General features: G+C 46.3%; 1 protein-coding gene across 1 annotated transcript in view, besides 1 other annotated feature; it reads left to right on the top strand.

Moving 5' to 3' along the window:
- The window catches only part of NRDE2 (NRDE-2, necessary for RNA interference, domain containing), a 64,082-nt gene that overhangs the window by 35,406 nt on the left and 10,984 nt on the right, over nucleotides 1–17,692 (top strand). Inside the window, exons 9-13 of the mRNA NM_017970.4 lie at nucleotides 3,664–3,839; nucleotides 5,929–6,315; nucleotides 7,391–8,319; nucleotides 10,044–10,182; nucleotides 17,403–17,474. Coding sequence (NP_060440.2) covers nucleotides 3,664–3,839; nucleotides 5,929–6,315; nucleotides 7,391–8,319; nucleotides 10,044–10,182; nucleotides 17,403–17,474 — 1,703 coding nt within the window. The remainder of the gene's footprint in view (nucleotides 1–3,663; nucleotides 3,840–5,928; nucleotides 6,316–7,390; nucleotides 8,320–10,043; nucleotides 10,183–17,402; nucleotides 17,475–17,692) is intronic.
- Nucleotides 3,934–5,133: an enhancer, noted in NCBI's record as "CDK7 strongly-dependent group 2 enhancer chr14:90757747-90758946 (GRCh37/hg19 assembly coordinates)". NCBI's record gives its function as "activates an origin of replication core promoter dependent on BRD2, BRD4, P300/CBP, MED14 and CDK7 cofactors, with strong dependence on CDK7, by STARR-seq in HCT116 cells {active_cell/tissue: HCT116}" and the evidence as "EXISTENCE:reporter gene assay evidence [ECO:0000049][PMID:35650434]".

The raw sequence follows: 17,692 nt of genomic DNA, 5'->3' as shown, positions 1-17,692 counted from the left end.
GCATCTCTATTACCACTAAGAAGCGAGAGGGGCCCTTCAGGTGTTTTGGGGTAACTCTCCTCTGGGCAGTGCTGTCAGGCAGTGATCATGCCTCACTTGGGGCTGTCAGAGTCTCAGCTGTTTAGATTTCCCTGGAGTGTTCTTTTCCAAAAAGAATGAGAACTATTCATCAGGCTGACCAGTGGTTTTATGTATGAAGAAAAACAGCCTGCATGAAACGGAAGTAGGTATTGCACTCAGCCACTGAGTCTGCAAGACCGCATAAGCAAAGGCCAAAAAAACAGAAGTCTGATTAGTAACTCTCCTCTCTGAGTGACTGACTTAGCATGGGTCTGTGTTTTTAGGCTTAGTTTTTTTGTTTTTTGGTTTTGTTTGGTTTTTGTTAGAGAGCGAGCCCATTACAATGCATAGTATCTGTTACACGGTTTGCTGTGTTCTGCATTTCTGTGACAATAAAGTTTTCATAGCAGTGTCCACAGACTAATTTTACTTCTGATAAGTTTCCAGATATCTAATGGTCACTTAAAATCAGGTGTAAAGTTAGTTTTCTCCAAAAGGGAATGCAAATGAATATCAAAACCTTGACTTTTAGCATCAAGTTAGAGACTTGTGTTGGTACTTACATTCTCTGCAAGCTTCTCACACATTTCCATTATGGAGAAACTTGCTGAATTTATGAATTTCTTTCTAATGAATTTAATGGAAGTCCTCCAAAAAACTAGAAGGGTCAAAAGAAAGGCTGAAAATTTTCTTGATTCCAGCAAACCTAATTGATAACAATTTTTGTTTTTATTTTATTTTTAACTTCTCTTATTTACCCTGAAAGGTTAGCGTTGAGAGGGTAGTTGATTTCATCCTGCAGTCAAGCATTTATCATAGCATGTTTCTTCTCTCTTGCCCTCACTTTCTGTTAGTATGTAGTTGTTATACATGAATGTGTGTCCAAAGCTCTGTAATCTTTTGAGTCCTTAATGTAGTAAATTCAGGTATCTAAGTCTGATGTATGACTCACAAAGGTAATTTCTCTTATAAGAGTTTTTCAGGGTGATTAAAGGATTACTTTAAACATAGATCTTTAGAAGAAGGTGATAAATACATTCAGTTTTCTTCTTTGAGAAACTCAGAAGAGCATTTAGGCAGAATATTGGTGGAATAATAGAATGCTAATATATACATTATGCTAATATATATGATCTATAATGCTAATATACACAATATATTATTATTATACTACGTATACATATTATGTGTTTTAAGTTTTTAAAAATGTTTTATTTTGAAATAGTATAGAGTCACAAGAAGTAGAAAAAATGTACCCAGAGGTTTTGTGCACCCTTCATCCAGTTCCTTCCAGTGGTAGTACCACAGTATAATGTCAGAACCAGGGAACTGACATTGGTACAGTCTGCAGTTCATTCACATTTCACCATTTTACATGCACTCATTGGTGTGTGTGTTTCTATGGTACTAGGCAGTTTCTGTCACGTGTGTAGCTTTGTGTAATCACTACCACAATCAAGATCAGACTGTTTCATCACTGCAGGGCTCCCTCACAGTATCCTTTCTTAGCCACGTCTGCCCCTTCCCCCTCCTAACTCATGGGAACCACTAATCTGTTCTCTCTCTGTTTTCCTGTTATCTCATGAAGGTTATATAAATGGAATCATAAGGTATATAACATTAACAAAATTTTTTAGTTGTAAAATATAATATAAAATTGATCATTTTTAAGTGTACAGTTGAGTGACATTAAGTACATTCACACTGCCATGCAGCCATCACCTCTATCGACCTCTGCAACTTTTTCATCTTCCCCAAGTCTGTACCCATTAAAGACAAATTCCTCACTTCTCCCTCCCCCCAGGCCCCAGCAGTCATTCTACTTTCTGTCTCTATGAATGTGACTACGTTAGGAACCTGGTGGATGTGGAATCATACAGTAGTTGACCTCCTGTGACTGGCTGATTCCGCTTAGCGTAGTGTCGTCAGGGTTCATCCATGTCACGCCAGGATTTCCTTCCTTTTTAAAGCCGAACACTTCTCCACTATGTGTGTATACCATCCATTTGTCAATGCACATTTTGGTTGCTTCCACCTCTGGGCCATTGTGAATAATGCTGCTATGAACATGGGTGTACAGTATCTGTTTGAGACTCTGCTTTCAGTTCTCCTGGGTAGATATTCAGCAGTGGAATCGCCTCATATGGTAATCCTGTGTCTAGTATGCCATGCTGTTTTCCATACAGCAGACGGCAGCTGCACCATTTTACATTCCCACCAGCAGGGCACCAGGCTTCCGATTTGTCCACATCCCTGGGAACAGTTGTGTTTTGTGTAACTTTTTGAGATTGGCTTTTTTAACTTAGCATAACTTCCCTGAGATACCTACAAATTGTTGCATATATCAATGGTTTGTTCATGTTGATTGCTGAGTAGTATTCCATTGTGTAAATGGACCACAGCTTAACTGTTCAACCTACTGAAGGATGTTTGGATTGTTTCCAGGTGTTGGCGATTATGCATGAAGCTGCTTCTGAGTATTAGCATATAGGTTTTTGTGTAAACGTAGGTTTTCATTTATCTGGGATCAGTGCCCAAGAGTGCAGTTATGCTAAGTGCATGTTTAGTTTTGTAAGAAACTGCCAAAATGATTTCCTGTGTGGCTGTACCATTTTGTATACTTTATTTTTTAACCTTGAACTTTACAGATAACTCTGGCTTTCTTCCTCTTCCCTTCTACATGTTCAGAGTTAGGAAACAAAGTGAAATAAATTATTGGATATTGATTTGGCTTTTTTAAAGGCAAGTTCTAGTGAGCATAGGTCATAATTAATTATACGGTCCCTGGCTAAAAATTCGGATGACTTAAGAAAATCTAAACTAGTGCCATCATCAAATGTCATTTAGCATTCTAAAACTGTGTTGTCTAATACAGTAACCTCTAGCCACATGTGGCTATTTAAAATTAAATAAAATTAAGAATTCAGGCCAGGCCTGGTGACTCATGCCCGTAATCCCAGCACTTTGGGAGGCCAAGGCAGGTGCATCACCTGAGATCAGGAGTTCGAAACCAGCCTGACCAACATGGTGAAACCCCATCTCTACCAAATACAAAAAATTAGCCAGGCATGGTGGCACATACCTGTAATCCCAGCTACTCAGGAAGCTGAGGCAGGAGAATTGCTTGAACCTGGGAGGCGGAGATTGCAGTGTGCAGAGATTGTGCCACTGTACTCCAGCCTGGGCGACAACAGCGAGACTCCATCTCAGAAAAAAAAAAAAGGAATTCAGTTCCTTTACTAGCTACATCTCAAGTGCCCAGTGAGTCACATGTGGCTACCCTGTTAATGCAGGTATGTAGGGCATTTTCATCATCACAGCGAGTTCTGTTGGACAGTACTGTTCTAGAGTATGTGTCATTTCCATTTTAATCACTATACTATTAAAAATAATTTGATTTGATCACCTTGTCTTCCTTTGCTTCCTGAGGACTTGATTGATTACAAAGAGTTCCTAAATGCCACTGAGTATCCTGGGAGACTGGCATGGCTCTTACACATCTTGGCATTGCGGGTGCCCAACAGTCCCTGACATAGCAGGCTGATTGAGTGGCGATGGTGGTTTTATTTGCTGATGAGGTGAAGAAGTCTCATTCTTGTCTAGATGAGGATGACGATGAACCAGAAGAGGATGACCAGGAAATAAAAGATAAGACTCTGCCCAGGTGGCAGATCTGGCTTGCTGCTGAGCGTTCCCGTGACCAGAGGCACTGGCGGCCCTGGCGCCCTGATAAGACCAAGAAGCAAACCGAGGAAGACTGTGAGGATCCCGAGAGACAGGCATGTATCCTCCGCCCCAGGCAGGAAGCTGTCCAGGGGGTCCCTGCCTGCTTTCCATTCCCATGCGCTTTGGTTATCTGAAAGGAGGCCGCTGGAGCTCTCTTAGCAGTTGGCTAGCTTAGGAGATGCTAACCTGCTCCTGTTCTCATCTGTGGAAACTTCCTTCCTGCTGGATATCAGTGTAGAATTTCCTTGGCTGCTGGTGATGGGGGAGCATATAGGTGCTTGACCAGAGAGCTTCTGTCCCCTAGTAGGTGGGTGGGCCCTTGTGGTCACCCCTCTGGAGATTGTCTTCCAGGTCATTCAGTTAATTTTTCATGTGGAGCCCTGTGGGATACATACAGATTATTCAAAAAACTCGGAATCACTGTCCTAGATTCTTTCCTTGTGTCCACTTTCCCCACCCCACTCTTGGGTCCGTGAAGCTGTAGCAGATAGACTGGACTCTAGAAGACAAGAGGGACTGGCCGTAGGGTCCATGTTGGACAGTTGGCATCAGCGTGTCTTGCGGAAGAAGAAACTAGTGTTTATTGAATACCTGTGGCGTGCCAGGCAGTTCATCTGTGTTATCTCATTTACTGTTACCGTGTGACTTGTTACATGCTGCTCTGTGTTTAGTGGCCAGCAGCTCTGGAGGTTTTAAATTAAAATGAAGAAATGCTGTCTCGATACCTGGAATTGATCCAGTTTAACCAGATACCAACTCTGTGTCTTGGAGCTCTGTGACCTTTTCTACAAACGAGGCGCCCTGAAGGCAAGGAGTTTATCCCTTTTGTTGAGTGCTCTGACGTCAGTGCCTAGAACAGCATTTGTCCTGTGGTGAGCACTCGGTGAATCCTCTTGGATGTTGAAGGAATATTTGTTTGATGACGGAGCATCTGCTCTGGGCAGAGGGATCAGCACAAGTGAAGGCCCCAGAGTGCCAGGAGCGTTTGAGGAGTGGGGAATGGGGTGGCCAGACTGGAGTGAGGACACAGAGAAGTGGGGATAGAGACAGAGGTGATCTCTGGAGGAAGAAGGGGCCAGCTTCTAGGGAAGCCTCAACTCACTGGAAGTCTTGGAGAGGGTACTTACCTGGGAGGCCTCTTGCCTCGCTGAAGCTGAATGTCTGCAGAAGAGTGGAATCTTTCTTTGGTATCTGAGGATTTTGTAGAGTTCACAGCCACCCTTCTGGAAGTCATTTCTCAAGGCTTAGAGTCCCAGCAGTCTCCTGGAAGCAGATTTCTGGAGCAGACTGCTGCTGCAAGCGATTTCTTGCCATTTAGCTTTTTCTGTAATCAAAGCCTGGGGGAGAAAAGCTTTCTAATTTATTTTTAACATAAAGAGCAGCTTTCTGATTAATTGATGGTTTTGATTGAGTCCCACATACTCTAGTTTATTGTGCTTGTGTTATGATTTCCGCTTTGCTGAGAGCCACAAAGACCAATCAGATAAGCAGCACCAGGACACAAAGGGTGGCCTCCTTGGCCCTTATGTTTTTAAATTATTACATGAACTCAGCTGTAGACATTTACAGTTAGTGTTAGGCTCTTATAATTGCTTTTAATGTGCTCCATTGCTCCTGTAGGTTCCTTCTTACCTTGAGTCTGTTTATCTAGTTTTGTCTGTTTATCTAGTTTTGAGTATATTTTTCATTTCTTGGAGCAATTTTGTACAAGGAAACCACAAATAGTAAAGTTCTTATCTTCCATCTTACAATACAAATTTTTCACCATCATGCGTTATCAAAGTACAAAAGCAATTATGTATGCTTTCAGAAGTGAACATGTTTCTAGATTTTCTACAAATCCATCAGGATACTTTGAAAGCTTCTGGCTTAAACCCGTTCATGGCTTCTCTCCTCCTCAGGCTTTCCCATGTGTTGAAATGTTAATGGCACCACAGGGCTGCCTAACAGTTATTCTCCAGCTGTCCAGGTTGCCTTGCAAGGCCTCTGGCTTGTGCTAACAGAGAGCTTAGCTCCTGTCTGTTTAAAATTGATTTAATTTGAATAATGTTGAACCATTAGTACATGCATATAAAGAGAATTGTGACAAATGTGCGGGTTTTGTTTTGTTACATGGGTCGCTTTATTTTGTCTTTGTTGCAGGTGTTGTTTGATGATATTGGGCAATCTTTGATCAGACTTTCCAGCCATGATCTTCAGTTCCAGCTGGTGGAGGCCTTCCTGCAGTTCTTGGGTGTGCCTTCTGGCTTTACTCCTCCAGCCTCCTGTCTTTATCTGGCCATGGATGAGAACAGCATCTTTGATAATGGACTTTATGATGAAAAGCCCTTGACTTTTTTCAACCCTTTGTTTTCTGGGGCTAGCTGTGTTGGCCGCATGGATAGGTTGGGCTATCCTCGCTGGACCAGGGGTCAGAACCGAGAGGGCGAGGAGTTCATCCGCAATGTCTTCCACCTTGTCATGCCTTTATTTTCAGGCAAAGAGAAGTCCCAGCTCTGCTTCTCCTGGTTACAGTATGAGATTGCAAAGGTAATTCCAGACTCGTCCTCCCATGTTTGGGGACTTTTCATTTCATGTCAGTGTTTATAAACGGGATTGTAAGCCTCCGAGTGCTCTCCCTGGAACTATGCCCCAGCACCTCCTCCTCCAGTGACCCTGAAGGCACCTTGTGTGTGTTTGCCCTTCTGAGGGTCCGCAGTGAAGAGGAGTAAGGCAGGAACGAGTCAGGCTACCTCAGTGACTCTCGAGCTGTTTATTGTATTATCTTGCACTACCAGGTCCCCGTCCTTACATGAACAATGAGTGCTCAAAATAGTTTTAAAGCAGCGTCAGAGCATTCAGGGGCTTATTAAAATAGATCAGCGTCAGGCGCGGTGGCTCACGCCTGTAATCCCAGCACTTTGGGAGGCCGAGGCGGGCGGATCACCTGAGGTCAGGAGTTCGAGACCAACCTGGCCAACATGGCAAAACCTCGTCTCTACTAAAAATGCAAAAATTAGCTGGGCGTTGTGGCGTGTGCCTGTAATCCCAGCTGCCCAGGAGGCTGAGGCAGGAGAATCGCTTGAACATGGAAGGTAGAGGTTGCCGTGAACTGAGATCGCACCATTGCACTCCAGCCTGGGTGACAGAGTGAGACTCCATCTCAAAAATAAATAATAGATAAGCTACTGATAATACTTACCCTCCTGTTTCTGCTAGAAATGAGTCTGGATCAGCTGTTCTGTCCTCTGCTGGCCACAGTTAGTACTGGCTCTCTTAGCACCCAAGTTCTGAAGCTTCAACTACAGATTACACACACCAGGCTGTATTGAAATAGTGTGTTGAAATGTTGTGGCCACATCTCTTTGGAGAAGAACATTTGTAGGTATCAGCTTTGTTTATAGAGATTTCAGCTGGAACCCTGGATTATAAATTTGGGGGCAGTTGTGGCCCTGGTAAAAATCCTTATTTCTTTTCCAGCTCAGAGAGCCTCAGTGTTTACCAGACCCGTGATAAAGGGAGGAAGCGTAGACGCCTTTTTTCCTGTCAGTGCTTTCTACAGTTGGCAGCAGAGGACGCCTTAATTACAGAGCACCTGCAGTCATTCTTCTCTTTTTCCCTGTAGGTCATTTGGTGCCTGCACACTAAAAACAAGAAGAGATTAAAGTCTCAAGGGAAGAACTGCAAAAAACTAGCCAAGAATCTCCTTAAGGAGCCAGAAAACTGCAACAACTTTTGCCTGTGGAAGCAGTATGCACATCTGGAGTGGTTGCTTGGCAACACGGAGGATGCCAGAAAAGTTTTTGACACAGCACTTGGCATGGCAGGAAGCAGAGAACTGAAAGACTCTGACCTCTGTGAGCTCAGTCTGCTCTATGCTGAGCTGGAGGTGGAGCTGTCGCCAGAAGTGAGAAGGGCTGCCACAGCTCGAGCTGTTCACATATTAACCAAGCTGACTGAGAGCAGCCCCTATGGGCCCTACACTGGACAGGTGTTGGCTGTTCACATTTTGAAAGCGCGAAAGGCTTATGAGCACGCACTGCAGGACTGTTTGGGTGACAGCTGTGTCTCCAATCCAGCTCCCACCGATTCCTGTAGCCGCCTAATTAGCCTGGCTAAATGCTTCATGCTCTTCCAGTATTTGACCATAGGGATTGATGCTGCTGTGCAGATATACGAACAGGTGTTTGCAAAACTGAACAGTTCTGTTTTCCCAGAAGGCTCTGGCGAGGGGGACAGTGCCAGCTCCCAGAGTTGGACCAGTGTTCTCGAAGCCATCACACTGATGCACACGAGCCTGCTGAGATTCCACATGAAAGTGAGTGTTTACCCGCTGGCCCCTCTGCGAGAGGCACTCTCACAGGCTTTAAAGTTGTATCCAGGCAACCAGGTTCTTTGGAGGTCCTATGTACAGATTCAGAATAAGTCCCACAGTGCCAGCAAAACCAGGAGATTTTTTGACACAATCACCAGGTCTGCCAAACCCTTGGAGCCTTGGTTGTTTGCAATTGAAGCTGAGAAACTGAGGAAGAGACTGGTGGAAACTGTCCAGAGGTAATTCCAGACCGTTCTGTTCGTGTGCCCCGCAAATGTTTATGGAATGCTTGCTGTGTTGCCCTGACCTTGCTGGGTCTCAGGAAGACAGGGATGAACATGGCACGGTGCCCAGAACACCTGCCGTGGGGCTGTAGGTGTCATAGGATAACGGATTGAAAGGCAAGCGAGACACAAAGTAGCGGCGCCTCTCAGGAGGGGGGTTGGTGGCTGTCGCCTGGGTGTGCTTCTGGGGAGTATGAATGTTGTTTCTGTGTGCATGGGTGGTGGCTGTCAGATCACGGGAATGCTGAGAAGCCGTCACGAAAGCCTGATGGCTAAGAGCACCGGGGCCAGGTGGCAGCTTTCTGGATTCCAGTGCCAGCTCTTCTCGGCTGGGTGAACTCGAGCAGGCCACTTCCCCTCTCATAGCTCCCTCTCTGTCAAATGGGAATGAAAAACCTACTTCATAGGGTCTCTCTGAGGGGTCAGTGAGGTAAGTGCTTGGTACAAAGTGTGTAATGACTGGGAGCTTCTGTCAGCATTCCTAGTGACAGAAGTGTCATGTTTAAATTCCATCTTTGATACGATATTTTCTTTTTTTATTTTTATTTTTTGAGACAGGGTCTTACTCTGTCGCTCAGGCTGGAGTGCAGTGGTGCAGTCTCAGCTCACTGCAGCCTTGACCTCCTGGGCTCAAGTGATCCTCCCACCTCAGTCTCCCCGGTAGCTGGGACTACAGGCACCACCACGCCTGGCTAATTTTTTTATTTTTTATTTTTTGTAGAGACGGGGTTTTGCCATAGTGCCCAGGCTGGTCTCCATCTCCTGAGCTTAAGCGATCTACCCGTCTCAGCCTTCCAAAGTGCTGGGATTATAGGAGGGAGCCACAGTGTCCGGCCTGATCCAGTATTTTCTCTCTAAAGGTTAAATGTTAATCTGGGGGACACATTAGCTTAGGCATCATTGTTTTCCCAGAATCTTTGCTGTTGCTTCACTCTGACCTTATAAGCCAAAATTGTCTTTGAATAATATTTCACTTGTTTTTTATTTCTTCCATTGGGATTTTGTTCACTCTATGTGAGCCTTGCTTTCTCTATTATAAATCAAAAGGTCTTTTCTTCCTGTAAAGTAGAATTTGCATTCTGCTGATTAAAGGGTAGCTTTCTTTCTCTTTTTTTTTTTTTTTTTTTTTTTTTTTTTTGAGACGGAGTCTCACTCTGTTGCCCAGGCTGGAATGCAGTGGCGTGATCTCAGCTCACTGCAACCTCCGCCTCCCGGGTTCAAGCAATTCTCCTGCCTCAGCCTCCCGAGTAGCTGGGACTACAGGCACCAGCTAATTTTTGTATTTTTAGTAGAGACAAGGTTTCACCATATTGGCCAGTCTGGTCTCCAACTCCTGACCTTGTGATCTACCCACCTTGGCCTCCCGAAGTGCTAGGATTACAGGCATGAGCCATTGCGCCCAGCAAAGGGTAGCTTTCTTTAGAAAACAGAGGCGAGTGGGTTTTTGTGTGACTTCAAGACAGATTCGATGTGGTGTGGAAACCACAGAACTCTGGCCTGTGCCTTCTCCTGGCCTTGGAGAAGCCCCATACACAGCGCTCTACGCCTGAGGGACAGTTCTCCCCTGAGTCTGTCTGATCTGGTTGTTGCTGACACTTATCATCACTCAGGCATCTCTTCCTTCTGTGATGTAGGATGAGAGAGCTTGTGTCAGAGTCACGTGAGCCTTTGCCTTGCAGGTTAGACGGTAGAGAGATCCACGCCACAATTCCTGAGACCGGCTTAATGCATCGGATCCAAGCCCTGTTTGAAAATGCCATGCGCAGCGACAGTGGCAGCCAGTGCCCCTTGCTGTGGAGGATGTATTTGAACTTTCTGGTAAGAAAATATTGAGATGTTTTGTGTTCATGCAGAGCTCTACCTCTTCCTTCATAAATGAGAAGGTATTTATGAAATGAGAAGTAGCCCCTGCCCAGGAGAGCTGGGAGGCCATATTTCACTCTCATCTTCTTGGCATTGGTGAATCTCTAAGAAATCCTGATGGAATAATGTCAGATCTCTCAGGACTTGGGAAGAGGTTGCAAGTAGTCCATCTTCTCGAAATATTTGGTAGAACGAAGTTGAGTAGTTACTGGGCTATTCAGTGCAATAGGATTTAATGTGGGTTTCTCTGAGTTGACTTAAGTCGGTAACTTGCAAAATGGTCTAAGAGCTTTCCTTTGAAAGAGACCTATATTCTTTGCTATTCTGCTCATAAGAATTTCTAGGTCCTGATTGTTTTGTTATTAAAAGGTTCAGGTTGGGTGCCGTGGTTCAGGCCTGTAGTCCCAGCACTTTCGGAGGCCAAGGCGGGAAAATCGTCTGAGCCCAGGAGTTCGAGACCAGCCTAATCAAGATGGTGATACCCCATCTCTACAAAAAAATTAAAACATTAGCTGGGCATGGTGCCTGTGAGCCTTTGGTCCCATCTACATCAGAGGTTGAGGCAGGAGGATTCTTTGAGCCCAGGAGTTTGAGGTGGCAGTGAGCTATGATCACACCACTGCACTCCGGCCTGGGTGACAAAATGAGACCTTGTCTCTTAAAAAAAAAATGTAATCTAGAATGTAATTTTTAAAATCAACATTTCCGGCTGGGCATGGTGGCTCATGCCTGTAATCCCAGCACTTTGGGAGGCCAAGGCAGGCAGATCACCTGAGGTCAGGAGTTCGAGGCCAGCCTGGCCATCATGGCGAAACCCCGTCTCTACTAAAAATACAAAAATTAGCTGGGTGTGGTGGTATGCACCTGTAATCCCAGCCACCTGGGAGGCTAAGGCAGGAGAATCGCTGGAACGCGGGAGGCAGAGGCTGCAGTGAGCCAAGGTCATGCCACTCTACTCCAGCCTGAACGACAGAGTGAGACTCCGTCTCAAAAAAAAGAAAAAAAAAATCAACATTTCCTTTTTTTTTTTTTTTTTTTAAGACAAGGTCTCATTCTGTTGCCCAGGCTGGAGTGCAGTAGTGGGATCTCGGCTCACTGCAACCTCTGCCTCCCAGGTTCAAGCAATTCTCCTGCCTTAGCCTCTTGAGTAGCTGGGATTACAAGCGTGAGTCCAGCTTATTTTTGCATTTTTAGTAGAAATAGAATTTTGCCATGTTGGCCAGACTGGTCTCGAAATCCTGACCTCAAGTGATCCGCCTGTCTCATCCTCTGAAAGTGCTGGGATTACAGGTGTGAGCCACTGCGCCCGGCCTAAAATCGACATTTCTAAAGCAGCTTTGTGTTCATTTAAAAGTACCATAGAGATTAAATATGGTGAGACACCGTTCAATTTTGTGAATGTGAATGTACAAGCTGAAAGGTGGCTCTTTGGCTTAATAGAGTCTATGAATTGGCTCAGCCTTGGGTTAAAGGTCTGGCATTGGGCTGGGCCTCGTTTATTGTAACACATCTGTTGCCAAGTTGCACTTTTTTTTAGAAACAGTCTTCGAGGCCTCTTGCTTTAGTTCAGGGGTACTCAGTCATATCCAAGTGGTCTTCAATGAATATTGTACGTTTCGGAAATCAAAAGTGATCTTCCTGGCCAGGTGTGGTGGCTCATGCCTGTGATCCCAGCACTTTGGGAGGCTGAGGGAGCCGGATCACCTGAGGTCAGGAGTTCGAGACCAGCCTGGCCGACATGGCGAAACCCCGTCACTACTAAAAATACAAAAAAAATTAGCTGGATGTGGTGGCAGGCATCTGTAATCCTAGCTACTTGGGAGGCTCAGGCAGGAGAATCGCTTGAACCAGGGAGGTTGCAGTGAGCTGCAGGCGGAGTTTGCAGTGAGCTGAGATCGCACCACTGCACTCCTGCCTGGTTAACAGAGTGAGACCCTGTCTCAAAAAAAAAAAAAAAATAGAAAAAAAACAAAGTGACCTCCTTACTCATAAATCTTACGTATATATCTGAAGATTTCCATAGGATAAATTCTCAAAACTTGATCATGTTACACATGACAAAACTGGAGTGTAAAGAGATACAGAGCGAGTATCCGTATCTGTTGGGCCCCCACTCATGCCTGTCTTTGATTCCAGAATTCATCGGGTGTGTCTCTCTGACCTCTGGAAGGAGCCAGGCACTGAAGGCCTGAGGGGCTGGGCAGGACCTGTGACCTCAGGACAGCTGCTCATGGGCACACTCAGGAATAATGGGCACATTCTTGGGGGCAGAAGTTGGCATCAAAAATGAATTACCAAGTCTGAGTGTGGTGGCTCATGCCTGTAATCCCAGCACTTTGGGAGGCCGAGGTGGGCGGATCACGAGGTCAGGAGATTGAGACCATCTTGGCTAACACGGTGAAACGCCATCTCTACTAAAAATACAAAAAATTAGCCGGGCGTGGTAGCAGGTGCCTGTAGTCCCAGCTACTCGGGAGGCTGAGGCAGAAGAATCGCTTGAACCCAGGAGGCAGAGGCTGCAGTGAGAGCCAAGATTGCGCCACTGTACTCCAGCCTGGGCGACAGAGCCAGACTCTGTCTCAAAAAAAAAAAAAACAAAAAACCTGCAAAAGTTTATGCATTTCTCTTAACATTTATTCTTCAGACCCAGAAGCTCTGATCTTATGGTTTGACTCGTGTGTGAGCTGGAAACTTGCAGGCAGGATGCTGCTGTTAGTAGAGACAACAGTTTGAGGCAGCAGAGTCAGGAGCCCAGGGTTTTAGTGAAACCTCCACTCCTGTCATCAGGCTGCTCAGCTGAGGGAGCAGAGCAGATGCTCCCTGATATTCCCAGCATAAAGATTCCACCCATCTTTACATTTAAAATGGTGGAGTTTGCACATTTGCCAGTTTAACTTACCCAGTCTTTTACAGGTAGAGGCAGGGTAAGGTGCAAATGTACAATATTTTTACTAAGAATCTTCCATGAGCCTAGTTTGGTTCGGTTGTAGACAAAAAGTGCTTATTGGCTTTGAAAAAAAGATCTGGCCCCTTAGAGAATTTCTCTCTTTTTGGAAAGGTAGTATTGGAACTAAGGACTAATTAGAGCAGAGACTGCCCCTAGCAGTTCCTGAGGCATCTGGGCAGGCTCCTAGCACTTTGTTAACACAGTGAAAAATCACATTAGGGCCAGCATGCAAGGTGAAGGTAGCGAGTGCCTGAAGAGGCGGGAGAAGGGAGCCTCGCAGGCCGGGGGGAAGGCTAAGGCTCCCTGGAGGAGGGCTGTGAGGTTGGTTGTGCGATTGTGCCTTTTTGTGTACATGTGCATATACGTGCTTGCTTATACATATGCACATACATATACTCTTGCAACATGCATGCAAGCTTATTTGCTTGCTTGCACTTTTTTCCCTGTAAAAATGTTTGAAGGAGTTCGGGAGTTCGAGACCGGCCTGGCCAATATGGAGAAACCCTGTCTCTACTAAAAATACAAAATTAGCCGGGCGTAGTGGCACATGTCTGTAATCCCAGCTACTCGGGAGGCTAAGGCAGGAGAATCACTTGAACCCGGGAGGCGGAGGTTGCGGTGAGCCGAGATCGCGCCACCGCACTCCAGTCTAGGCAACAAGAGTGAAACTCCATCTCAAAAAAAAAAAGTTTGAAGGAATTAAAGCTTATTCTTGGCCACGGAGAATATGGGAGGGAAAGGAATTGGACAAACAGCAATTAAAATTTTCCACTAATGTTGGAATTTAGCAGGTTAAAACCTCATTTTTAGGAGAGACTTTCAAATGCGCTGTTTTGCATATACATTAACACTCTCAGCCAAAGTTTTTTTTGTTTTTTTTTTTTGAGATAGGGTCTTTCTTATTGCCCAGGCTGCTGGAGTGCGATGGCACTATCACGACTCACTGCAGCCTCAACCTCCTGGGCTCATGCAATCCTCTCACGTCAGCCTCCTGAGTAGCTGGGACTACAGGCATGCACGACCATGCCTGGCTGTTTTTTTTATTTTTTGTAAAGATGGTGTCTCACATATTGTCCAGGCTAGCCTCGAACTCCTGGGCTCAAGCAGTCCATTCACCTCAGCCTCCCAAAGTGTTCAGATCATGGGCGCGAGCCACTGCGCCTGGCTTGTTTATTGTTTTGTTGTTTTAGCTAAAATTGCAGTTTTTTCAAGATACTTAAAATCCTTTAATTTGGTCATCTACCTACACAATAAAGAAGGAACTATGAGTATATAAGCCAGTTAGTTGATTTCATGGGATTGATGAAGTCTTAAATAAAAAGGGAACAGTGGCATTTCTGAATTGTGAATCATTAGATTTTCTTTTACCCTCTAGTATAATTTGTTCCATCCTGTTGACAGCTGGCAGGAGTTGGTATATATTGAAAGGCCATCATTTACAAGAGCTGGTGGGAGGGAAAAGAATCCCCCTGAGTTCTATCAGAGATAAACCAATAAACCTCTCAGCAGAGTGTCAGTCTTCTCTCAGGAGCACATGGAGGGAGCATTATAGAAATGCATCTTTTTTTGTTTGGACAAGGTTGGTTATGTTTTGTTACATAAAAAATTGTATAAGCTAACAGTTGCTCACATTTGTTTATAAGGAGATAAAAAAAGAGAATCAAAATTTGCAAAAGCCTTAAGACCTTCAGCTTCCTCGTTTTTTAGAGATGTTGCTTCCCCCATGGGGAGGTGGCACACGTCTGCTAAGAAGGTAGACAAATGCCAAAACAAGTGATTACAAAGCACCAAATAGCTTCTCTACACGGAGGACTCAAACACTTGGGACGTTAGTGATGCAGCCAATGGGCAGCTGCCTGCCACTGTTACTCGCCTCCCCCGTGGTCGCACAGGGGAGAATTATTATGGCCCAGCTCAGGTCTGAGTCATAAGCATTTTTTGTTTTTTTGAGACAGAGTCTTGCTCTGTCATGCAGGCTGGAATGCAGTGGCGCAGTCTCAGCTCACTGCAGCCTCAACCTCCTGAGCTCAAGCATTCCCCACACCTTAGCTGGGACCACAGGTGCGCACCACTGTGCTGGGCTAATTTTTATATTTTTGTAGAGACAGCGTTTTGCCATGTTGCCCAGGCTGGTCTCGAACTACTGAGCTCAAGCAGTCTGCCCTCTTTAGCCTCCCAAAGTGCTGGGATTACAGGCGTGAGCCACCGTGTCCGGCCAGCATCTTGTTGGCTGAGTTCTTCAGATGGTTTGTATGAGATTCGGTTCCTGGGGCTTCGTGTGAGGGAAGTGGCCTCTGTGTGAAGTCTCCATTCCTGCTTCCCTCTGGGAGACTGCCCTTGGCCGAATCACACACTCACTCGGGCACCCATCACGGCAGTTCTGCTCCTCCATTAGCTGTTTTCTTAGGTTCCCAGCAAAGACCCTGTTGGTTACCTGAGATGCTCCCAGTCCACCTGAGGAGACGTTTACCTGGACACAATCCCATAGGGTGCAGACACAGTACCATGGGAACTCCAGCAAAGAAGAGTTGCCCCCTGTTATGTTTCAGTCCTGACTTAGGAATTTCATGAGGGGTCTCAGTTGTCAGTTCAGAAGATGAGAAAGGAGGACCAGGAGAGCCAGATAGCGCCCATGAACTCTTCCCTCCCTCGAGACTGCGCCAGTCAGAGGTCAAAGGTACACGCAGGCCACGTCTCAGAAGATGAAATCATGGACGGAAGCCACACGTGGTCCCCACCAAGCTTTCACCTGGCATCCAGCCCTTCCATACCTCCGTGCAGTGAGGGCATCTCCAGCGCTGATGGAGGCTGGCCAGCTGTGTACCTGGATTTGTTGGGTTCCGAGATTAGCTGTGCATGGTTGTTACATTTTGTCAGTATCTTAGGAAAGGACACTGAAGTATGTTAGCATGGGAAGGAAGGACAGCGCTCAGTGGCTCTTTGGTTATAAATTCAGAGGCTCAGCCTCAGAACTGGAGGCTTCCACCAGGGAGGACACGCAGGAGTCCTCCGAGCCTCACAGCTGGCCCTGTGCGTGGCACTCACAGAGGCTGGGGAAAGACTGGGCCTTGCCTGAAGCAAGGTTATCACAGTTCCGTCCCTGTGACTGTGGGAGTTAACGGTTGAGAAGGACTGGCCATGGAGTCCCGGCTACTTGGGAGACTGAGGTGGGAGGACTGCTTGAGCCCAGAAGTTCAAGGCCAGCCTGGGCAACATAGACAGTGAAAAAAAAAACCAAAAAAACCAAACAAAAAACAAATAGAAAAGGGAGTGAGGCCATCCTTGGTAGATGGAGTTCCTGAGATGTAAATTGGAGAGTGGAGTCCCTGGATGCCACTGTTCAGGTTTCTGGGAAGCCGGTCAGCAGCCCTCACTGGTCCCGGGCTGGATGCTGTGCCCCGGCCGCTTGGTTGGGCAGGGCTGGCGTCCCCTAGAACCTTCTGAGGGAGGGGAGCCTGCAGGACGGGGTGGGTGGAAACAGAGACTTCAGCTCCACAAGCCCTGCCTGTGCCCACTCCTGGCTGCACAGCTACCTGTGGAGCTGCCCGTGTGGGCTGTGATTCCTTGGAGGGCTTGAGAGGGGCTGTTGTCAGCGGAGGTCCCAGGCTGGGTCTCCTTCCACACTGGGCTGGGAAGGAGGCTGTGTGGCTGAGTCGAGATGGAGGGTTTTATATCTAGAGAGAACACGTGCTGAATATCCACACAGATACTGAGATTGCCGATGGAACTTGCACCTTTTGTAAGGTCAGTGATCACAGTCCTGGCCATCTCTTTTCTCTAAAAGATAGTTTTCAGAAAATGGCAAGTATTAAAGCAAGTGTCTTCTCTATGTTTTCTAAGATAAGTATTGTAGAAGATTTTCTCTATTTGTATAATGTCTTCAGCCTCACCTCACTGACACTCCTTGGTTTCAAGCACTGTTACTAACACCCAGAGGTGACAGCCTACAGCAAAGGAGGAGATCTGAGACTTTAAAAAGTCAGTAGTGTTCAGGATTGACACTCTGGGGCCATTTGAATGGGAGGAAACAACCCCAACACAGCAGTGGCTTCTGAGAGTGCTCCCTGGCACCTGCCCCTGTCCCACAGCCACCGTGACGGTGCCAGGCCCTCTGCACAGGTGGGCTCACTGCAGCTGAGGGCTTGTGCCCGTCATCCAGGGGCGTTTGTGTAGCCTTAGCCTCTCTGTGTCAACTAATCATGTTTGTATTTTCTCCCCCTCACCTCAGGTTTCCTTAGGAAATAAAGAAAGAAGCAAAGGTGTATTCTACAAAGCACTTCAGAATTGCCCTTGGGCAAAGGTAAGTGTTAAAGGCCATGGTGTCTTCAGCTTCCCGAAAACTTCCCGCCAGGTCTCCGTCCAGCTAGTGTCTTCCCGGCCTGCCCCGCGGCACCGGGGATGCTCGGCTCATGGACGCCATACCCTGTCCCAAGGTACATCCAGAGCCTTTTCCTGGTGAAACTGTCCCCTGTGGAGTCAGAGCCTGGCCCTACCTGGGGCTGGTGCTTCATGGAAGTG

This window comes from Homo sapiens, chromosome 14 (assembly GCF_000001405.40).
Source record: "Homo sapiens chromosome 14, GRCh38.p14 Primary Assembly".
Classification (NCBI taxonomy): Eukaryota; Metazoa; Chordata; class Mammalia; order Primates; family Hominidae; genus Homo; species Homo sapiens.
The sequence above is the reverse complement of the archived record's forward strand: the minus strand, read 5'-3'. Positions and strand labels throughout refer to the sequence as shown.